General features: G+C 44.2%; 1 annotated feature.

Moving 5' to 3' along the window:
- Positions 304 to 826: an enhancer, noted in NCBI's record as "NANOG-H3K4me1 hESC enhancer chr13:20924041-20924563 (GRCh37/hg19 assembly coordinates)". NCBI's record gives its function as "activates a minimal SCP1, AML or CMV promoter by ChIP-STARR-seq in naive H9 embryonic stem cells {active_cell/tissue: H9 hESC(naive)}" and the evidence as "EXISTENCE:reporter gene assay evidence [ECO:0000049][PMID:30033119]".

Below are 21,072 nucleotides of genomic sequence, written 5' to 3'. Positions count from 1 at the left end.
TCAGATAGTGACATGAAAAATATTGATCTTAGTCACAGGTTACAGCTGCATCTTAGAACCAACCTAACACCAGGTGCAGGAAGTAAAACTTATTACTTGACATGAGTGTAGGCCAATCTTCCCCCAAAGGCATGATCCATCATGGGTGGAGCCCAGACCCCTGGTGTTCTAGGCCTTCCGGGATCCCCCGTGGACCCTGAGGGCATTCATGCTCCCATTCCTCCTGTCTCCCTCCTGCTTTTCAGGGACCAAGCAGAGAGGATAGATGGAAAGCAGACAGTGCCTGGAGATCAGCAGCCCTAGGCCCTGACTTTCCCAAACCCTGAGCATTGTAAAGGCAAGGCCATCACCAGTGTCAAGCCTCCTTCCACTAGGAAAAGAAAAACAGAAGTAATTGTGTTCTCTGGAGGGCAGGGCTCTGAGTACAAAGTCTCATGTTTTCAAAGTAGGAAAGTGTCCACAGTTAATATTTGGATGGGCCCACAGTGCCTGTCTTGCTCACTGGAGCCCAGGCCTGTCCCATCACAGACAAAGGGCTCTTGCTGTGCACCTGTGGAGAGGGGAGCTTGGTTGGAGGAAGGCACGGTCAGCCTCTTTGTGCTCTTTTTGTTTGAAACAGAGTTTTGCAAAGGGAGTGGTTCTGGAGGAAAAGCAGAGCGTGGAGTGTCAGAGGGCGGTGTGTTGTGAAATGCATTAGCCCTAGAGACCCTCTGTAACTGGCCTTCCACGTACGCCTGCCGCCAACGACAACACTGAACCATGCAAGCGGGGTGTTTGCCAGCTCACGAGCCTGGGAGACATGGAGCTTCCACTAGCAGAGGAGGTGGAGGGAAAACAGAAAGAAAGAACTGAGTCTAGCAGCCTCCTTGGACGTTTCTTCGAACGCCTCCAGCCCAGCACAACAAACAACCTCAGGGCATCAGGCCCGTGCTGCGCCCCAGCACACCCAGCTTTGCCCTGCTCCAAGAGCCCACAGAGGGCCTCGGGGTCACACTCAAGGAGCGTGCCTGGAATCCAAAGTGCATGCTGTGGTGGGGATATGGACAAGGGCAGAAATAGCACCAAGCAAGGGAGGATGAACTGGGTGAGAGGTGTGAGGAAACTGCCCAAGCGCTGACACCTGGGTAGATTTTTAAATGGCAAGAAATCACATAGACAACATGGGGGCCAGGGAGAGGGTTGAGAGGTGAGGGCCTCACAGTAGAGGGCTTTCCAAGGGAGGAAATAGCACGGGCAACGGCTGAAGCATGCAATGGTGTGGTGTGTGTGTGAGCATGAATGTATGTGAGCAAGTATGTGAGCAAGTGTGTGAGAGCATTTGTGTGTGAGAGCATGTGTGTGAACATGTGTGTGAGCATGTGTGACCATTAATGTGTGATGTGAACATGAGAGCCTGTAAGAATGTGATCATGTGTGTAAACGTGTGTGACACGAGTGTGTGAGCATGTGTGCACATGTGTGATCATGAGTGTATGTGCATGTGTATGAGCATGAATGTGTGTGCATGTGTGTAGCATGTTAGTGTGTATGTGTTTAGCATGTGTGTGTGAGCATGGATGTATGAGCATGTGTGAGAAAGTGTGCATGAGCATGAATATGAATATGTGAGCATGTGTGAGCATGAGTGTGTGACCGTGTGTGAGCATGACTGTTTGCAAATGTGTGTGAGCATGAGTGTGTGTGCATGTGAGCACTGAGTATGTGAGCGTGTGAGCACGTGTGAACATTAGTGAGCATGTGTGTACACGTGTGCATGTGGGAACATCAGTATGTGAGCATGAGTGACCGTGTGTGTGTGCATGAATGAGCATGAGTGTGTATATATGTGTGTGTGTGAGCTTGAGTGCGTGAGCATGTATGTGCATGTGTGAGCATGTGAGTGTGTGAACATGAGTGTGTGCCTGTGTGAGCATGAGTGTGAGCATGTGAATATGTGCATGTGTGAGCATGAGTATGTGATCATGTGAGTGTGTATGAGCATGAGTGTGTTTAGTGATACATTTGTGATTATACAAATGATTTCATGATCTGCAAAGTCCAATGGACATTTTAACACTTCCCCTATCAGCACATCACACTTTATTAAAGTTATTTTGTACAGTCTTCCCACTAGATTATAAAAAGTCATGTCTACCTTGATCAACCTTAAGAAGACTTGAACAAGTGGACATATTCCGCCTTCCTAGGTGAAAAAGCTTGATTTTGCAAAGATAGAAACCTTCCCAGTTAAACTATACTTTTTTAATGTGGTTCCAATAAAAAGTTCAATGGGATGAATGATTTTGTAATGTGATTCTAGATTTAAATTGTAATTGTACTAGTAAATATAAGAATATTCAAGCCAATATTTTAATAAAGAATACTATTTTATCATGTACAGCTGCCATAATGAAACAGATGACGCACGACAGATCAGAATAAGAAATTCAGGAAACAAATTAAGGTACATATCATAATTCGGTTATTATGACGGCATTTAAAACACCAAATACATGGTGGCAAAATAGCTGACTAATCATTTGGGAAACAGCCTGGGCAGGCGCCTCTGCTGCGTTCCCACCGTCAGGCGGCAGAACACGCAGGGAGTCACCGGGGTGCCTACTAGTTCTCCCACTGATCCTGAAGCTGGGTGAGAGCAGAGACCAGCTAGTGTTCAACTCCCTGTCCCCATCATTCCATGTGCCTTCCACAGAGGATGCACTAAATTCTCGCTGAAGGAATAAATGGCATTTGAACCTCTTCATGGTATCGTTTGGGCCTCGGAGGCACACAACTCTTAGATAGCTGCCCTTTATGGCAGGTCACAAGTGATGCATGTCTGAGCTGAGAAGTCGACGTCCCACTTCTCCTTCATTTTCTTGGCCATCCCTGAAGCCATGCTAGGTCTATGCTAGAATCCTAGTGAAACTTTTGCTCACTCAATAAGCACAAATAATAATAATGTAAATATTTACAACCTTCTGACTAAAGTGTCCACATTTTTCCTGGATGTTATGGATCTATTATAGAAGTATATGTATAATATAATCTTAGTGGAAATTTTGAATAGAAGATGTAGAGAAAATAACTAAGAATTTGCACAGTAATTTACATGGTTATTTTTTTCTTACGTGACCAGTGAGCGAACTAAGCCTGATTGATAAAAATGAGATGAGGTGACAGATCTCATGGTTGTAAATGAAAACATTGTGATTCAAACTCAAGTGACTGACTCTGAAATACGTTTCTTTTTCAGCGGAAGCATTGCTGCTAGAATAAATCAGTCATTACTGATCCATGTCTTAGTCTGTTTGGGCTGCTATAACAAGAATACCTTAGACTGGGTAATTTATAAGTAATAGAAATTTATTTCCCACAGTTCTGGAGGCTGGGAGGTCTAACATCAAGGTGCTCACAGATTGGTGTTTAGTGAGGGCTCCTCTCTCCTTCCAATATGCAGGCACCTTCTCACTGTGTCCTCGCATGGCAGAAGAAAAAGGGCAGAAGAAAAGCCCTTTTTAAAGGGAGTTAAACTCATCCATGGGGGCAGAGCCCTTATGACCTAATTACCTTCCAAAAGCTTCATCTCTTAATACCATAACTTTGGGGTTTACATACCAACATATGAATTTTGGAGGGACACCAACTTTCAGGCTGTAATGACCCATGTCAACAAAGGAATAACAGTGTATTTGAAATAATGTAATTATTACTTTCGGTATCCATCAGCCCCACAAATATGATTAGAAGTATAGCCCCACATTAGCACCACAAATATGATTAGAAGTTTGAAACCTCTGGCATTTGGTCTTGTTTTATGTAAGTTTTCTACATGAAAATATTTGAGAAAAATAAGATACATTCTGTCTCTCATAAAACAAATTTTATATGGGTTTAAGAAATCAACCACACATAGCTGAGAAAAAACTAACATTACTAAAATGTTTAAACGATTTGAATTTTTTGTAATTACATAAGTAATATATCTTCAGGTTAGAAAATATTAAAAAGATAAAGATAAGAAAAGATAATAAGTCTCACATAATCCTGCCACCAGTGATAACTGCAGGCAACATTCTGGTACATGTGGAACAAATACATGTTGAATGAAAAAATGAATTTTCTTCCATCTTTGTCCTAAGTATGTATGTGTATGTTGTTTACACATTGAACTCATATCACGTTAAGTTCTCAGGCTTTTCTTTTTCCATGCAACATCATATCTCAAGCGTAGCAATGTGAATTGCAGTCTACAGCTTAGGAAAGTGAGAAATAGAACTTTCCTTTTCTTATCACACTTATTTCTATTTTAGCCCCCATCTGACAAGGCAGCAGCAGATTCATCTGATCAGTTAAAGCATTCTCTGTCCTGATAGTTGTCTATTGCCGAGGGCAGTAGAGGCAGGAAGGTCACTGAGGCCCTAGAGCTTCCTCCCCCAGGGTTCAGGGCCTGTCTGGTGTCACTGTGAGTCCCCTTCTCCCTGAGGTTGTAGGCAAAGACCAGGGCACTGGGGCGCTTGGTCCTCTCAGACCTCTCAGGATTCAGGGCACAGGGTCCTTCTGATGGGATCTGCTGATGTACCCTAGAAAACAATGCTACCGCAATGAGCTTTCTATGAAATCTGTCAGAAGTTCCATTATTTCCTATGGTAGATTCAGAAAGTGGAATTACCAAGTCAAAGGCTTAAGGCTCTTGATACACATATCAAATTGCTCTCCAGAGCACACCAACCTAATTTTCAGCATCAAGTTGTGACTGCAGCTGCTTAGAGCAGCCTAGCAGGCATGATCATTCATGGCAGCCTTTCTTCAGCTCCTCCAATACATTTCGACGAAGACATGATTTTTGTCTGTTCACCTGCAGAGTTCCATTTCTTTCAGTTAGAAGGTCAACTGTTATTGAGAACTCATTAAATGCAAAGCTTGTATAATTGGAAAAACTCCAAGCCTCAGTTTTTCATCTTCAAAAGAGGTATTAGGTTGAAGCACTTACTTAATTGAGGCTTTTGCCATTACTTTTGATGGCAAAAACTGCAATTCCTTTTGCACCAAAATTACTTTTGTGACCACCCCGCCTGCCCCCACCACGCTCACGAGAGAGAGTTCAGGATAGGGCATGTTCTAACTGATGAGATGAATCTGCTGCTGCCCTGTCAGATGAGGGCTAAAGTAGAACAGATCTGGACTCCTCTGCAAAAATGAGGGCAGAGGCCACTGGCAGGGACACAGAGGACCCCCCGATTCTCTCTACAAAACTTGGTCACTGGGAAGGTTGGCGGCTATGGAAACCCCACAAAATCTTCATGCAGAGCATTCTTAAAGTCCACCTAATCCCAAGCCTTCCTGTTACAGAGGAGGAAACAGCAGAGCCATAAGGTGACCATGAGTCAGGGGTGCAGCCTGGCCTGGACCACTCTCCTCCTGGCCCGGATTCTTTCCATCCACCCTCACAGGGGCTTGGCCTCAGCCAGGAGCTCTGGGCTTCCTATTGCCAGTCCTCAGACAGGGGCCCTGGGCTGCCATATTCACCCCCTCATCCCAGGGGTCACACTGCTCAGGCCACCTAGACCACCTCTTAGGACAGCTGGCCCTCATCCCTGTCCCGGGACAGGTAGGAGCGCAGCAGAAGGGCCGCCGGACTCTTCAGAACTTTTCTCTGCACCGGGCTCAGATGTCCGTCCCAGGCAAGAGCAGGATCCTGTCTCCCTGTTCAGGTTGCGACATTTCCTGCTTTCCATTAATTACATCTAAGTGGAGCGTTTAAACAATTAAAAGAATTTCTAGCACCACTCCTGGCTTAACACTGTTTACCTCTTGTTTAACATACTGATTTGGATTTAGGGTGGTTTATTAAAAAGGCTTTTCCTCAGTGACAGTTCCCTTTGGGCCCTGTCACCCAGTTTCTTGACCAGCTCTGAAGGACTCTGGAGGCCTCTGTGTGATGCTAAACAATTTACACACACACACAAACACAAAACATGAGTGCTCCAGTATTTTTAACCTTGGGAAGTTTTGGTTTATGACATTGTGACGTTTTTATTTTGTGCCATTTTTTCTTAATGGGGGAGAAAACAAATACTTCTTGGCTCCCTATAATAGCACAGGCATTATAACAAGTACTTTCTGAGCCTTCTGTCCTTTATTCCTTGCAACCATCCTTATTGTACCCATTTTACTCACAAGGAAACCAAGTCATAAGGCCAATAAACAGCAAAAACACGGCTGAAGTCCAGATCCAACTCCAGGCCTGCATCCTTACCTCTGTGTGGCATTGCAGCTTCTAGGGTTGTTATCTTCGGGCCTTTGGCCCCCGCCTTTTTTTTTTTGGAGAGAGTGTAACGTTCTGTTACCCAGGCTGGAGTGCAGTGGCACCATCTCAGCTCACTGCAACCTCTGCCTCCTGGGTTCAAGTGATTCTCGTGCCTCAGCCTCTCCAGTTGTGTCCAGGGTTAGTTCCTGCCAGTGGGTTCGTGGAGGGTTCCTGGCCTCGCTGACTTCAAAATGGAGCCACGGACCTTCCCGGTGAGTGTTACAGTGCTTAAAGATGGCACGGAACCAAAGAGCCAGCTGGAGCAAGATTTATTGTAAAGAGCAAAAGAACAAACGTCACACAGCGGAGAAGGGGACCTGAGCGGGTTGTCACTGCTGGCTGGGGTGGCCAGCTTTTATTCCTTTATTTGTCCCCTCCCATGTCCTGTTTCTGTCCTATCAGAATGCCCTTTTCCCAATCCCCCACGAGTGGTTACTTTTAGAGTCCCACTGATTGGTCCATTTTACAGAGTGCTGATTGGTCCATTTTACAGAGTGCTGTTTGGGCCATTTTAAAGAGTGCTGATTGGTGCATTTTACAGACCGCTTGCTAGCTACAGAGCACTGATTGGTGCATTTTTACAGAGTGCTTATTGGTGCATTTTACAAACCTCTTGCTAGCTACAGAGCGCTGACTGGTGTGTTTTACAATCCTCTTGTAAGACAGAAAAGTTCTCCAAGTCCCCTCTCGACCCAGGAAGTCCAGCTGGCTTCACCTCTCACAGTGGCTGGGAATACAGCTGTGCGCCACCATGCCTAGCTAATTTTTGTATTTTTAGTAGAGATGGGGTTTCACCACGTTGTCCTGGCTGGTCTCAAACTCCTGGCCTCATGCAATCCACCCACCTTGGCCTCCCAGAATGCTAGGATTACAGGTGGGAGCCACTGCACCTGACCAGCATTTGCACATTTTAGAGGGTGACTGTTCTGGGTGACAAATCACTCCCCAGGGACCACAGCATCAGTTTCACATGTAAAGTGGCCGGGGAAATGGAACTTAGCCCATTTAATAGACATTTGCTCACAAGTTGCCTGTTTCACCAGGATGGCTGCATGAAGGAACATGGAGTTAGGAGGTTGCTGGGTTAGATCAGCTAATGCTTCTAAATGGAAACAAGTTTCAATGGGGTGAGAGTCATGGGGTGGTGACATGGACTAAACTAAGCCCTTCCTGGGGGCCAGGTTACCATGAATGTTTGCCAGTGACAGCACATCCACGACCTCGGCCAGGATGGAGGCCCACAGGGAGAGTGAGGAGGACGGACAGGGCGAGGCGTGAAGGCTGACCTCAGAAATGCACTGGATGAGCCGTGGCTCCTTTTGCTGGGAAAGAAAACACAAGCGAGTTAAGTAACCTAAATTATATGTCTAGCCCTACAAATGACCTAAGGCAGATAATTCTACCTGTTATGACTCAAATCCTCTCTCTACAAAATGGGAGAAATAATATTGCACTAAGTAATCTTCCTAGAGATGCTAGGAGAACTTCCAGAGAGATTTATTTCTCAACCCATAAACTAATGTTGGTTACACCCAACATACAGTTCTTTAATTTCTTATTTCTTGTGTCCCAGGATCACAGGAAAAAAAGCTTTCTGACATAAAACACAGAAATTGCACAGAGCTACCCAAGTTCATTCTAAAATTAAGTTTTGCCTGATCCAAGAACCCTTCTTGGTTATAGGTTCATAAAATGAAAAGGATTTAGAGATGACTCAGTCCAGCAATGCAAGTGTCTAGAGGGTAACCTTCCACCCCCGGGGCCAGTTAGCAGGTGGACAGCATTATTCCCTCCAGGTCTCATCCTTGGAGGCTGAGCACAGCCCACAGTGCTCCTCCACCAGCCATGCCAGCTGACTGCAGCTGGCATTTGAGTGGAACCCTACTGGCTGTCCCTGACCTGGTCCAACCCTTTCATTTATAGGCAAACCTCCAGAAGCCCACAGAGTTTCAATGAAGAAATAGGGATTGTACAACTAGTGGGAGGCCACTGATAGAATCTAGATCTTATGACTTCCAGCTTCATATCCATATCCTAATACAGCAAGATTCCCTCTCTACAAAATGAATTTTAAAAGAATCAGCCAGGCGTGGCAGCATGCACCCGTAGTCCTAGCTACTTGGGAAACTGAGGCAGGAGGATCACTTGAGCCCAGGAGGTCAAGGCTGCAGTGAGCTCTGATCATGGCACTGCACTCCAGCCTGCATGACAAAGCAAGTCCCCATCTCATAAATAAATAAATATAAAGCTAACAAGACCCAGCTGTACTAAATTCCTCATTTTATTTATTTACTCAATAAATATTATTGAGCACCTGCTGTGTACCCAGCATTATGCCCAGATAAGTGACTGCCCCTACTTCACTCAGCTAGAAAGGAATTTCATAAAACATAGTCCTTTCACTCTGTAGGAGCTGGAGCAAAATTCAAGTATAAGTAAATATATATATAAGTATAATACATATAAATATAAGAATATATTATTTTATGATATATAATATAAATACAATTTATATATATAAATTATACTATTATAAATATTATTATAAATATAATTTATATATACAAATTATGTTATAAATATTATAAATATAATTTGTATATAAAATTATATTGTTATAAATATATATATATATAATTATGACATCACTTAGTCCAAGGACTTAGAAATATCTCTGAAAAAGAAGTTTACAAAGTTAATAATAATAGTGAGTGATGCTATCCACCAGGAGCAGACTTGTTTGTGTATTATCTTCAATTTCCTCTTTGGTCTTCCCAGGCATTGTGCTATAGGAACCTATAGTAGAATGTGGCTATATAGGCCGGGCGCGGTGGCTCATGCCTGTAATCCCAGCACTTTGGGAGGCCGAGGCGGGCGGATCACGAGGTCAGGAGATCGAGACCATCCCGGCTAAAACGGTGAAACCCCGTCTCTACTAAAAAAAAATACAAAAAATTAGCCGGGCGTAGTGGCGGGCGCCTGTAGTCCCAGCTACTCGGGAGGCTGAGGCAGGAGAATGGCGTGAACCCGGGAGGCGGAGCTTGCAGTGAGCCGAGATCCCGCCACTGCACTCCAGCCTGGGCGACAGAGCGAGACTCCATCTCAAAAAAAAAAAAAAAAAAAGAATGTGGCTATATAGTTTCAATGGGAAAACCATCACGGAAGGAAATTGAGCACATTGCTCCAAGTCTTATATCAAGGTTTTGGATAGAAGAAAAGATCTAATCATCATAGCTTTTGGTTACATTTAAATTATCAACCAGCTTCCCCTGGTTGTGTTACAGGGAAAACAGCACCAGGCTGTGGGTGGGAAGACCGGGGTTCTGGTTTGCTACTCCCCAGGCAGCTTGTAATACCAAATGAATCACTCCAATATTGCTGAGTCTCTCTCCTTGTTTTAAAATGCGAATGACTACGTGCCCTGCCTGCCTGGCAAGGCTGTTATTAGGATTGATAATAATAATAACAACTCCAAGACTATTGTGCTTTGCAACATTTGCAACGCTCTTTCACAACAACCCATTTATAATTACTCCAATTAGAGATGAGAACCCATGGCTCCGAGGAGTGATGCAACCTGCTGGAGGTGCCCAGCCAGAAAGTGCTGGTGTGGGGCAGAGCCTCCCCCTGCGGGAGGCGTTCCCTCCGTTTCCTGGTGCTGCGCTGCTGAGGCGGGTTGTGGGTGGCTCCTGTGCCTTCCACAGATGCCCGGGTGGGGATCATGGGTGCACGGGGCTGCTCTCACTCTCTAGGCAACTCCCAGGAACTTGGAAATATCTGCGTGGCTCTTGGCAGGTTTTCTGGGTGCGGAAATTAGGACAGGATGTTTTCAGTGAGAGGTCTCTGCTGCTCTTACAGGGTCGGCCTCTTCTGGCTCTGCCTGCTTTACTGCTCTACTGTGTTGGTCACTGTCTCCTGTGTGTGTCCTTCATTGTTTTCCTCCAAAAAGCACAGCCCTGACATACACACACAAACACATACACAAACATCACCATTTCCCTCACCCTCTGAGTGTCTGCACCCCAAGCAGTGACTCCATTCTTGCCTGGACGCTCCTCTCCTGTGTGTACAGAAGTCCCGGGGCACACACCACCTCCCAGGGGCTGGAGGGCAGGTGGCTGCCACAGCCGCCCATAGGGCGTCTTCTCCATGCTCGGCTCCATCAGCGGTAGTATGACCCTGAATGCAGCGGCTTGCAAACTTCTAAACACATGTTTATGTGAATGTAAAACAAAAAGCAATACTCACCCTTATTGCTTGTGGTGTACTTTGAGATTTCCTGGCTGATTCTATTTCATGTAAATGAAATGCTGGTTGCAACCTAATACATTGATTATTTGACCCTCCAATGAGTGAAGGCCCACAGCTGGGGAAACACTATGAAGTGGCATTTTTCAAAGGATGATCTCACCTTCTGTCCACCATAGGCAAACCCCACTGTCCAGGAAGGGAGACTTGCCATGTTCATACATCCCAGGCTGTTCTCTCCACTGTCCCCCGCCACCAAGCCCAGGCTCCTACAATCTCCCTTCACCAAGGTGTGGTCCTGTGTACTCCATCTTCCACTGGCCCAGAATGGTTTTCTGAAAATAGAAACCTGCCCCTTTCACATCTTTCTTAAAATCCTTCCATGACTGACTTCCCCAAGTGCCATCACCTCAGGGAGGAAGTCTGGGCTCTCGAGATGGCTGAGGCCCTCTGTGCCTGCAATCTAACCTCCCCGCCATTTCTACACCAACACTGTCCCCACCCACACTGTCCCCTTTGCATTCTGCCTACACACAGTGCTATAGGCACTCCACAGTGCGTGCCACCTCCTGTCCCTCTGACTGTTTCTGGGGCTGTCTCTGTTCTTCCCCAGGCTGGCACTGACCCAGTGCAGCACTTAGGCAGGAGGGCACTTCCTCCAGGAAGCAGACGTAGGCCCTTCAGGCTGGCCAGTCCCCTGTAGTGCATGATCCCATGGTACCTGTGTGAGCCCCTGCTCTGGCACTGCCCCTCCCAGACAAGTGTGTAGGTGGGAGGAGGGGCGGGACCCTGGGTAGGACAGGGGCGGCCACTGCTTGCTCATGGCTGCAGCGTGTTGCTCAAGGAAGTGATTAACAGACAGCATCTTGGGGGAGAAAATAAAATCAAAGCCGGAAAGTCTGTCCAACTGAGTCATCCACAGAGCAGGGCTGGCTAGGAGGGAGAGTCCAGGTACAAGGCAAGCTATGGGCCCCAGGGAAGTCCAGTGAACAAAGAAGCTGAACGCAGAGCCTAGACTCTGGCTACTCAAAGTGTGGTCCACCGAGCAGCACCAGCCAGAGCTTGTTGCAGATGCCCCAGCCCAGATCAGAGAAGCTCTAGGCCTGGGGAAGTTCCCGAGCTGGAGAGAGCAGCTGCCCCCCAGTTGCCCACAGGGAGTGTTCACCCTGAGCACTCACGGGGCTGTGCTGAAGTTTTCTTCTTTCCTTTTTTTTTTATTTTATTTTATTTTTTTTTTTTGAGACGGAGTCTTGCTCTGTCACCCAGGCTGGAGTGCAGTGGCGTGATCTCGGCTCACTGCAGCCTCTGACTCCTGGGTTCCAGTGATTCTCCTGCCTCAGCCTCCCTGGTAGCCGGGATTACAGGCGTGAGCCACCACACCTGGCTAAGTTTTGTATTTTTTTTAGTAGAGACGGGGTTTCACAATGTTGGCCAGGCTAGTCTTGAACTCCTGACCTCAGGTGATCCACCCACCTCGGCCTCCCAAAATGCTGGGATTACAGGTGTGAGCCATTGCACCAGGCCCACTTTAATCGTTTTTTAAGTGTACATTTCACTGGCATTAAATACATTTACATTGTTATTCAGCCATCATCACCATCCATCTCCAGAACCCTTTTCATCTTGCAAAACTGAAGCTCTACTCATTAAACAATAACTCTCCATTCCCCTACCTCCCAGACTCTGGGAACAACTGTTCTCCTTTCTCTGTGACCACTTTCTACTACATTCCATGCATCCACTGCATTTAACACATATGCATATGTATCTATGACTGCATTCTACTTCCTTTCTCTTTTGACTGCTCTAGGAGCCTCATAGCAGAGGAATCATACAATATTTGTTCTTTTGTGACTCGCTTATTCAGTATAATGACATTATTTAGTATAATGTCTTCAAGGTGCAGCAGTGCTGTCACCTGTCATAATTTCCTTCCTTTTTAAAGCTGAACACTACTCCACTGTAGATATATACCACATTTTGTTCATCTAGTCATTGGTTGGACAGTTGGGTTACTTCCACTTCTTGGCTGTTGTGAATAGTGCTGCTATCTATGAACATGGGTGTACAAATATCTGTTTAAGTTCCTGCTTTCACTTCTGCCCTAGATGTTAGAAAGGCAGCGTGCATTACCTAAGATACTAAAAGATGAGACATTACAAAGTGGCGTAAAAATACCAAGACACATGGTTCCTGCTGCAATTGCAATTTCTATTACTGAGGATAAAAAGGAGAGTGCATCTGAAGAACTAAACAGAACTATGCAAAACGCTCTCGGGTGAAGTCAGATTTTAAAGGTTGTGGTGATGTGAAGTTGTAAGAATAGATCAAATAGGCAAAATCTAAAAGTATGGCTATAAATACAAGTCATCAGGCAATACAAGGGACAATAAAGAGAAAAGTCTACTGCTTGTGGCTGGGAGCAGGATACTAATAGAAAACAAATATAAAGTTACACTCATTATCTTCTAACTTGAATCTGTCATTTTTGTTAAGGAGAAACATTTTTAGACTAAAAAGAATAGAAAAAACATAAATAAGAAAAAATGAAATTTTATGTCAGTAAAGTGATTAGTAGAGATTTCACAAAATCTCAGAAGAAAAAGGAGAGCTCAGGGATTCTTAGAAAACTATGCAGTGTATCAGCTGAGTGCTTCCTACCTTCCCATTCCCTCAACTGGAGAGAACACAAAAGGCCTAAAAGCCTGGCCTTCTAGATCAGAAGGACTTAAAGGCACCCGGAGGAGAGTAAGGAAGCCACTCACACTGTGTCAGGGTGCAGGTGTGAATTAGACAGGAAGGACCAACAGATCAGCCCTGCAAACTCATTTCGGCAAACAAGAAAAAAGAAGGGGAGCAGAGTGAAGGAAGAGACCAGAAATTAACCCGAGAGAAAACATAACTTGAGAAGTAAATTCCTTACCATTGCTTCACTCTGAAGAAAATCACTTAATAAGAATAGGAAGTCAACAAAATAGTCATAAGTGAAAACAATATACACAGTAAGAAAAAGAGAGACTGCAGACATAGGCAACAAACTGGGGATCAAAACCTCACTGTTAATTAACAAACAGGAAAGCAAAGGACAGAACTAGACACTGACGGAAACTGAACTGCCTGCAACGTGGAGAGGTCAGGCATGATCCTAGAGAAAACCACTGAAAAAGACAAGAAAATTAAACTAGAATGACGACATAACCGATACTGGTGACAAAGACAATCCACATAGGGATAGAGATAGAGAACTCACAGATGGAACTGAGGAGCCATTCAGAGATACAGCACAAGAGAATTTTCCTGAAAAGGAAGAAGAACAGCATCTTTGTATCAAAAGAACATGCCATATTTTAGGAAATTTTGAATCAGAAGCCTCAAGCAATAGTTAAGCTATTGAATTTCAAGGATAAAGAACAAATTCTCAGCTGAGTGTGGTGCCTGATGCCTGTAATCCCAGCACTTTGGGAAGCCAAGGCAGGTGGATCTCTTGAGGCCAGGAGTTTGAGACCAGCTTGGCCAACATGGTGAAACCCTGTCTCTACCAAAAATACAAAAAGTAGCTGGTCATGGGGGCTCATGCCTGTAATCTCAGCTACTCGGGAGGCTGAGGCAGGAGAATCACTTGAACCTGGGATGCGGGGGTTGCAGTGAGCCAAGATCACACCATTGTACTCCACTCTGGGCAACAGAGTGAGACTCCCTCTCAAAAATAAATACATAAAATAATAAAGAACAAAAGAACAAATGCTCAAACAAATTCTCAAGACACCAGGCAGAAAAACCAAAACATCTACAAGGGCAATAAATAAATAAATAAATCTGATCTCCAGTGTCCCTACAGCAGCACTCAGTGCTGGAAGGCAATGGAGCAGTGCCGGGGGGGAGTTCTAAGGAAGCTCAGCCCGGGGCACTACAGCAGTCACGAGGGTGGGAAGAAAGGCACCAAGGCAGCCATCTGCAGACACGTCAGGGGGCAGGCACTACGATTAAAGGCTGCCGTGAGCTAATACAGAACACTGTGGTCACCAATAAATATGAACGTCACAAACCTGCACTGAGTAAAATAAGAGTATGATTAACAAAAATAAGGAGCCACAGGCAGGAGACAAGGCAGAAAGACGAAAGGACTCGATGTCGCCTTTAAAAGCCAAGAGTCAACACACGCTGTCAGACATGCAAATAGACTTTGAGAAACCAACAGTAATGACCCTAACCTATCTGAATGTTTGTCGCGATTTCTTTGTTTAAACCGAGAGTGATTTTTAGGAAATCGTATCTCTTGCCACAGAGGAAGTTTTATTTGAGTTTCAAAAATGCCTTCAGTTTAATTTTACTTTATTAAATTCAAGGAAAATACATTTGCTACTATATAATAATTATGATGTTTCAGCCTGATTACTTTTTTTTTTTTTTGAGACGGAATCTCGCTCTGTCGCCCAGGCTGGAGTGCAGTGGCGCGATCTCCGCTCACTGCAACCTCCGCCTCCCCGGTCGATTCTCCTGCCTCAGCCTCCTGAGTAGCTGGGATTACAGGTGCACACCACCAGGCCCGGCTAATTTTTGTATTTTTTTTTTTTTAGTAGAGATGGGGTTTCACCATGTTGGTCAGGCTTGTCTCGAACTCCTCCTGACCTTGTGATCTGCCCGCCTCGGCCTCCCAAAGTGCTGGGATTACAGGGGTGAGCCACCTAGCCTGGCCGATTACATTTTTATGGAAGTGTTTCTAAGTGCCTTCTATTTTTATGCACAGGGAGCTGTCTGAGACCATGTTCACCTAATGGTAACAATAGCAATTTCTGAGTGTGGAATTGGTGTGATTAAAAACTGTTACCTTTCTACTTACTACATTTTTTTGTACTTGATATTATTATACATATATCACTTTTATAAAAAGCAATGTAGTGATTTTTCTTACAAAAAAAAAAAAAAAAACCTGGAAGCCAAATATGCCAAGATGTTAATAGTGGTTAAATCTGGTGGGAATATGGAATATTAGGGGCTTTATCTTTTTTCCTTTATCATTAAAAAAGGAGTTTTAAGAAGATTCTAGTAGAGTTCATAGCTGCTCTAAAACAGTTAAAATCTCCTGACTTTGACAAATTTCAGCCTGAGGAGTCACAGGCTGGAATATCTAGTTGAGATAACTGAACCGATATGAATTTTTGAAGAAAGGTCACAGAAAATAAGAAAGGGCTGAAAAGGCCAGATTTTGAAAAACATGGATCTAATTTTCAAAGAGGGAGAAAAAGGACTTTTTAAGCCATACTCTACATACTCTATGAGTTGACATTCATCCTGGAAAGATTCTGTAATGGATTTTTAATGAGATGTTTTGCAAATACACTTTAAATTAAAAAAAAAGTCATGCCGATCTAAACCAGTTTTTACTTTTGATAGGCTTGCTAGAAAAATCAGAGAAATGTGTAGATGCTCTTCATCGGGACTTCAACCTGGTGCCCTTGAGCACCATGCAGGCCAGGGAATAATGCAGACAGGGGGGTTAATGACTGCCTAAAAAGACCGTGTTCACAGGACCATGGGTAGAGGGCTGTTGTCATTAGGAAGGGGACTGGATTGGTGCCCTCTGAGGCCCTCAGCTCGTTCCTGTTCAGTTTGGGCAACAGTGGTGGCAGTGGGAGGTGGGCGTGTGGGACAGTAGGGGTAAGAGCCTGGGATGTTGCAGGCACCAGGATAGTCACTGTAGGCACGTTGTTTACTCGCTCATTGTGATGAAGCTACACAGAGGGTGTTGTGCTCCTTTGTTACAGATTAGAAAATGGCAGCGAGTTGCAGGTCAAAAAAGAGATGAAGGTGAGATCAGGATGTCAACACAGGAAGGCAGAATGTGCCCTCAGCAGGCCCCACAGGGGTGAGTGTGGAGACCCCTGTCCCTGTTCCAGAGTGGTGTGAGTCAGGGGTATGTGTGCAGTTAAACATACGAGATGCAGTGTGTGTACCGGGCGCCAGTTATTGTGTCCACTGGGGGACGTTCCTTTCCAGTGACCAGATGCTCACGACTCCCATCAGCACTCCTGAGAGGTCAGTGTGTTGCTCCGTTCTGACGCCTGGCTGATTGGTGGCCCCTGTATGGCAGATGCACCTGACAATGAGAACTCAAGCATACCCTGAGAATGACTCCATGGTCTAAGAAGAGTGTCTGTTCAGAGTTCTCAGCTAAGCAGTCCAGGAGTGGCCAACTAGGAGGTCCATTTCTTACCTATGAGGAACATCTGAGCCCCTGGCCCATCCTGTGGCAGGTTGCTGGGGGAGGGTGCTAAGTGAAAATGCTACATGAACTGCATGCCTTTTATGAGAGGTAATGGTTCCCCTGTCAAGCCTGCTGCCACTGGACCATCCCTGAATGTAAGTTCCCCCAGTAAACACTGTGTCTCATTTGCTGGCTCTGGGTCTCTTCTTGGGCCTCTTGAACATGGTGCTATCCTTATTGAAGTCAATAGGAGCCTAGTATGACAGCTCCTATTAGGGTGAGGGCTATTTTATTCAGGCCACAGTGAGGCCTGTTCCAGAAGGTTCTGTTGTCTAGGATACAGTGTTTCTCTCCCTAAAATAGATAGCTTCTGGCTTCCTTTTTCTGTGGTCTGCACTGAACCATCTGTTCCAGGCACACATTCACTCTCTGCACAGGTTACTCTCAAGTTGCTTAGGTTTTGCTTCCTAAATTACAATCCCACTGTAGCGCCTCCTTCAGACTCCTGGGGCCAACCCCAGGGGGTGTGTGTTTCCTCTCATTTAGCTCTTCAAGAACAGCTTACATCTAAACAACACTCCATGTATTACAAGAAGGTCGCAGGGTTCGGTACCATGGTTGCCCAAGGTTGCACAGCTCGTAAGTGTCACACCCAGAATTTGAATCCAAGTTAATATGACCTTAAACTATGTTCTTTCCTCTAGGTAATGCTGCATAGACAACAGAGCCGAAAGTGTGGAAGATATACTGAGTACCAAAACTGAATTTTAGAAAATACAAAGATAAATTAGAACATTGTGCTCAGTCTATCAGGATGCAATTTATTAAAGACAAAATGTAAGTTCTTAGGTTTAAGTTCACAAAACAAGCTGTGCAAGTATGGAGCACAGCATGTCAGAGGAAAACCTTTCATTTGTTTTCAGTAAACTCCATTTGAATCAAGACAATGACTGTGCCCCACACTGTCTCCCCCTGACCTCTGTGTGTTCAGGCAGACAGGATGATGGAGGGACTGGCTCTTTCTGATGTCTGAGGAATCTTGGAAGTCCTGGGAACATTTAGCCTGGAGAAGAGGAGAATTCACAGAATGCTGGCTGCTGTCACAAGTCTGAAGAGCTGTCAGCAAGAGGAGGGACTGACATCAGGACCCGCAGAGGAAGAGACCTGCTTCCACCCAGTCTAACAAACAACCTCCTGGAGAAACAACCACGCAGGTGGTCAGGAGCGCAGGCTCCAAAGTGAGACAGACCTGGGCTTAAATGCCCCCTCCACCTCCTAACCTCTGAATATGAGTCCCTCCTGCGTGTGAAAGATGAGGATGCAGCAGCTCCCTCAGAATTCCCAAAGCATTCGATGAGAGGTGCACTACAGGGGCTCAGAAATGCCAGACAAAGTCAGTGCTAGACTGTCAGCTGCTGTGAGATTATGATCTCTCTTCGGCAGAGCTGCCCAGGAAGCAGTGCCTGTTTCCAGAAGAGCCTTCCAAAGTTGAGGCTCTCCATTTCCAGTTAAGCTAATTTAGGAAGATTGCACAAGTGGAAACACCACATGCGACTAACTGCATGATTAATAAGAACATGTTGACTTAAGTTCTTGATTGCCAAATGGATTTTTGCCTTATAAATATTTTTGAATGGATTATCACTGAAATCTTGGGGTTCAGTCAGAAGACTACTGTCTAAATTTTTTCTGTATTTCTTTTGGGGTCGTGATTTGATCCAGGGTGTGGCCAAATCTACATCGTTGAATAGTTCTACGAAGCTCCCCGGGTGTTACTGGGGATGTTGACTCAACATTTTCATGGTTTTCAGTTTTTATGGTCATTCGTGTAAAATGGGGCTCAAGTGTTTGTCTTTTCCACTTGAAAAACTCATCATTGGTTTGTGGTAACTAAGTCATTTATTCTTCATAGAATGATGCTGAGAAAGAAAAAACTGTGACAACAGTCATGGATATTAATGAATGAGCATGAACTTAGCCCATTTGCATTCTGAAGTATGGAGCGTGGGAGAAACAGTGACTTGCTGCTCCGCAGGGGACCGTTAGCTTACTCTCCGACGTGTTTTTGCTGTTGTTGTTTCTTTCTTCGTTTTTAACATTTTTTGGTTTAGTACTTTATAATGCATATTTTGAATTAAAAAATGAATTACAGAGTGGCTATGTCAGAAGAACTGAGGGTCTTTGGACTTTTTTTTTTTTTTAATAATTGCAGACTCAACTGTGAAATTGCTGCTTACATTTCCTTCAGAAATAATGAACTCCTGTGACAGTGACTTTGAATGTGTCTTTAACACACTTGACTTAATGAGATCCCTTTTCTGGAGGATATAAAATGTTCCCCAGAGATGTAATGTCACCACTAGGGGATAATCTAATGTCCTAAAAGGGCTAATTATTTCCCCTAAAACATTACAACAAACTCATTACTGTAAGGACAACCCTATGAACTCTTTAAAAGATGATGAAAATGACAGCACCGAGAAGGGAGATGGTCCTACTCTTTGGGGTAATAAACGACATTCAGAGTTAGAATCCTTTGACAATCAAATATTTTTTAAAACTTTTTTAAAATTATACTTTAAGTTCTAGGATACATGTGCAGAATGTGCAGGTTTGTTACATAGGTATACATGTGCCATGATGGTGTGCTGCACCCATCAACCCATCATCTCGGTTTTAAGCCCTGAATGCATTAGGTATTTCTTCTAATGCTGTCCCTCCCCTTGCTCCCCACCCCCTGACAAGCCCCAGTGTGTGATGTTCCCCTCCCTGGGTCCACGTATTCTCATTGTTCAACTCCCACTTATGAGTGAAAACATGCGGTGTTTGGTTTTCTGTTCCTGTGTTAGTTTGCTAAGAATGATGGTTGCCAGCTTCATCCGTGTCCCAGTAAAGGACATGAACTCATTCATTTTTATGGCTGCATAGTATTCCATGGTGTGTCTGTGCCACATTTTCTTTAACCAGTCTATCATTGATGGGCATTGGGTTGGTTCCAAGTCTTTGCTATTGTAAATAGTGCTGCAATAAGCAAGCATGTGCATGTGTCTTTATGGTAGAATTATTTATAATCATTTGGGTATATACCCAGTAATGGGATTGCTGGGTCAAATGGTATTTCTGGTTCTAGATCCTTGAGGAATCACCATAATGTTTCCACAATGGTTGAACTAATTTGCACTCCCACCAACAGTGTAAAAGCGTTCCTATTTCTCCACATCCTCTCCAGCATCTGTTGTTTCCTGACTTTTTAATGACTGCCATTCTAACTGCCGTGAGATGGTATCTTATTGTGGTTTTGATTTGTATTTCTCTGATGACCAGTGATGATGAGCTGCTTTTCATATGTTTGTTGGCCACATAAATGTCTTCTTTTGAGAAGTGTCTGTTCATATCCTTTGCCCAATTTTTGATGGGGTTGTTTGTTTTCTTCTTGTAAATTTGTTTAAGTTCCTTGTGGATTCTGGATATTAGCCCTTTGTCAGATGGATAGATTGCAAAAATTTTCTCCCATTCTGTAAGTTGCCTGTTCACTCTGATGATAGTTTCTTTGCTGTGCAGAAACTCATTAGTTTAATTAGATCCCATTTGTCAATTTTGGCTTTTGTTGCAATTGCTTTTGGTGTTTCAGTCTTGAGGTCTTTGCCCATGCCTATGTCCTGAATGGTATTGCCTAGGTTTTCTTCTAAGGCTTTTATGGTTTTAGGTCTTAAGTTTAAGTCTTTAATCCATCTTGAGTTAATTTTTGTATAAGGTGTAAGGAAGGGGTCCAGTTTCAGTTTTTGGCATATGGCTAGTCAGTTTTCCCAGCACCATTTATTAAATAGGGAATCCTTTTCCTATTCCTTGTTTTTGTCAGGTTTGTCAAAGATCAGGTGGTTGTAGATGTGTGGTGTTATTTCTGAGGCCTCTGTTCCGTTCCATTGGTCTATATATTTGTTTCAGTGCCAGTACCACATTGTTTTGATTATATAGTTTGAAGTCTGATAGCATGATCTTTGTTCTTTTTGCTTAGGATTGTCTTGGCTATATGGGCTTGTTTTTGGTGTCATACGAAATTTAAAGTAGTTTTTTCTAATTCTGCGAAGAAAGTCAATGATAGCTTGTTGGGAATAGCATTGAATCTATAAATTACTTTAGGCAGTATGGCCATTTTCACAATATTGATTCTTCCTATCCATGAGCATGGGATGTTTTTCCATTTCCGTGTATCCTCTCTTATTTCCTTGAGCAGTGGTTTGTAGTTCTTGAAGAGGTCTTTCACATCCCTTGTAAGTTGGATTCCTAGGTATTTTATTCTCTTTGTAACAATTTTGAATGGGGGTTCACT

Source organism: Homo sapiens, chromosome 13 (genome assembly GCF_000001405.40).
Source record: "Homo sapiens chromosome 13, GRCh38.p14 Primary Assembly".
Lineage (NCBI taxonomy): Eukaryota > Metazoa > Chordata > Mammalia > Primates > Hominidae > Homo > Homo sapiens.
Note: the sequence above shows the minus strand (reverse complement) of the source record. Positions and strands in the feature narration are given on the sequence as shown.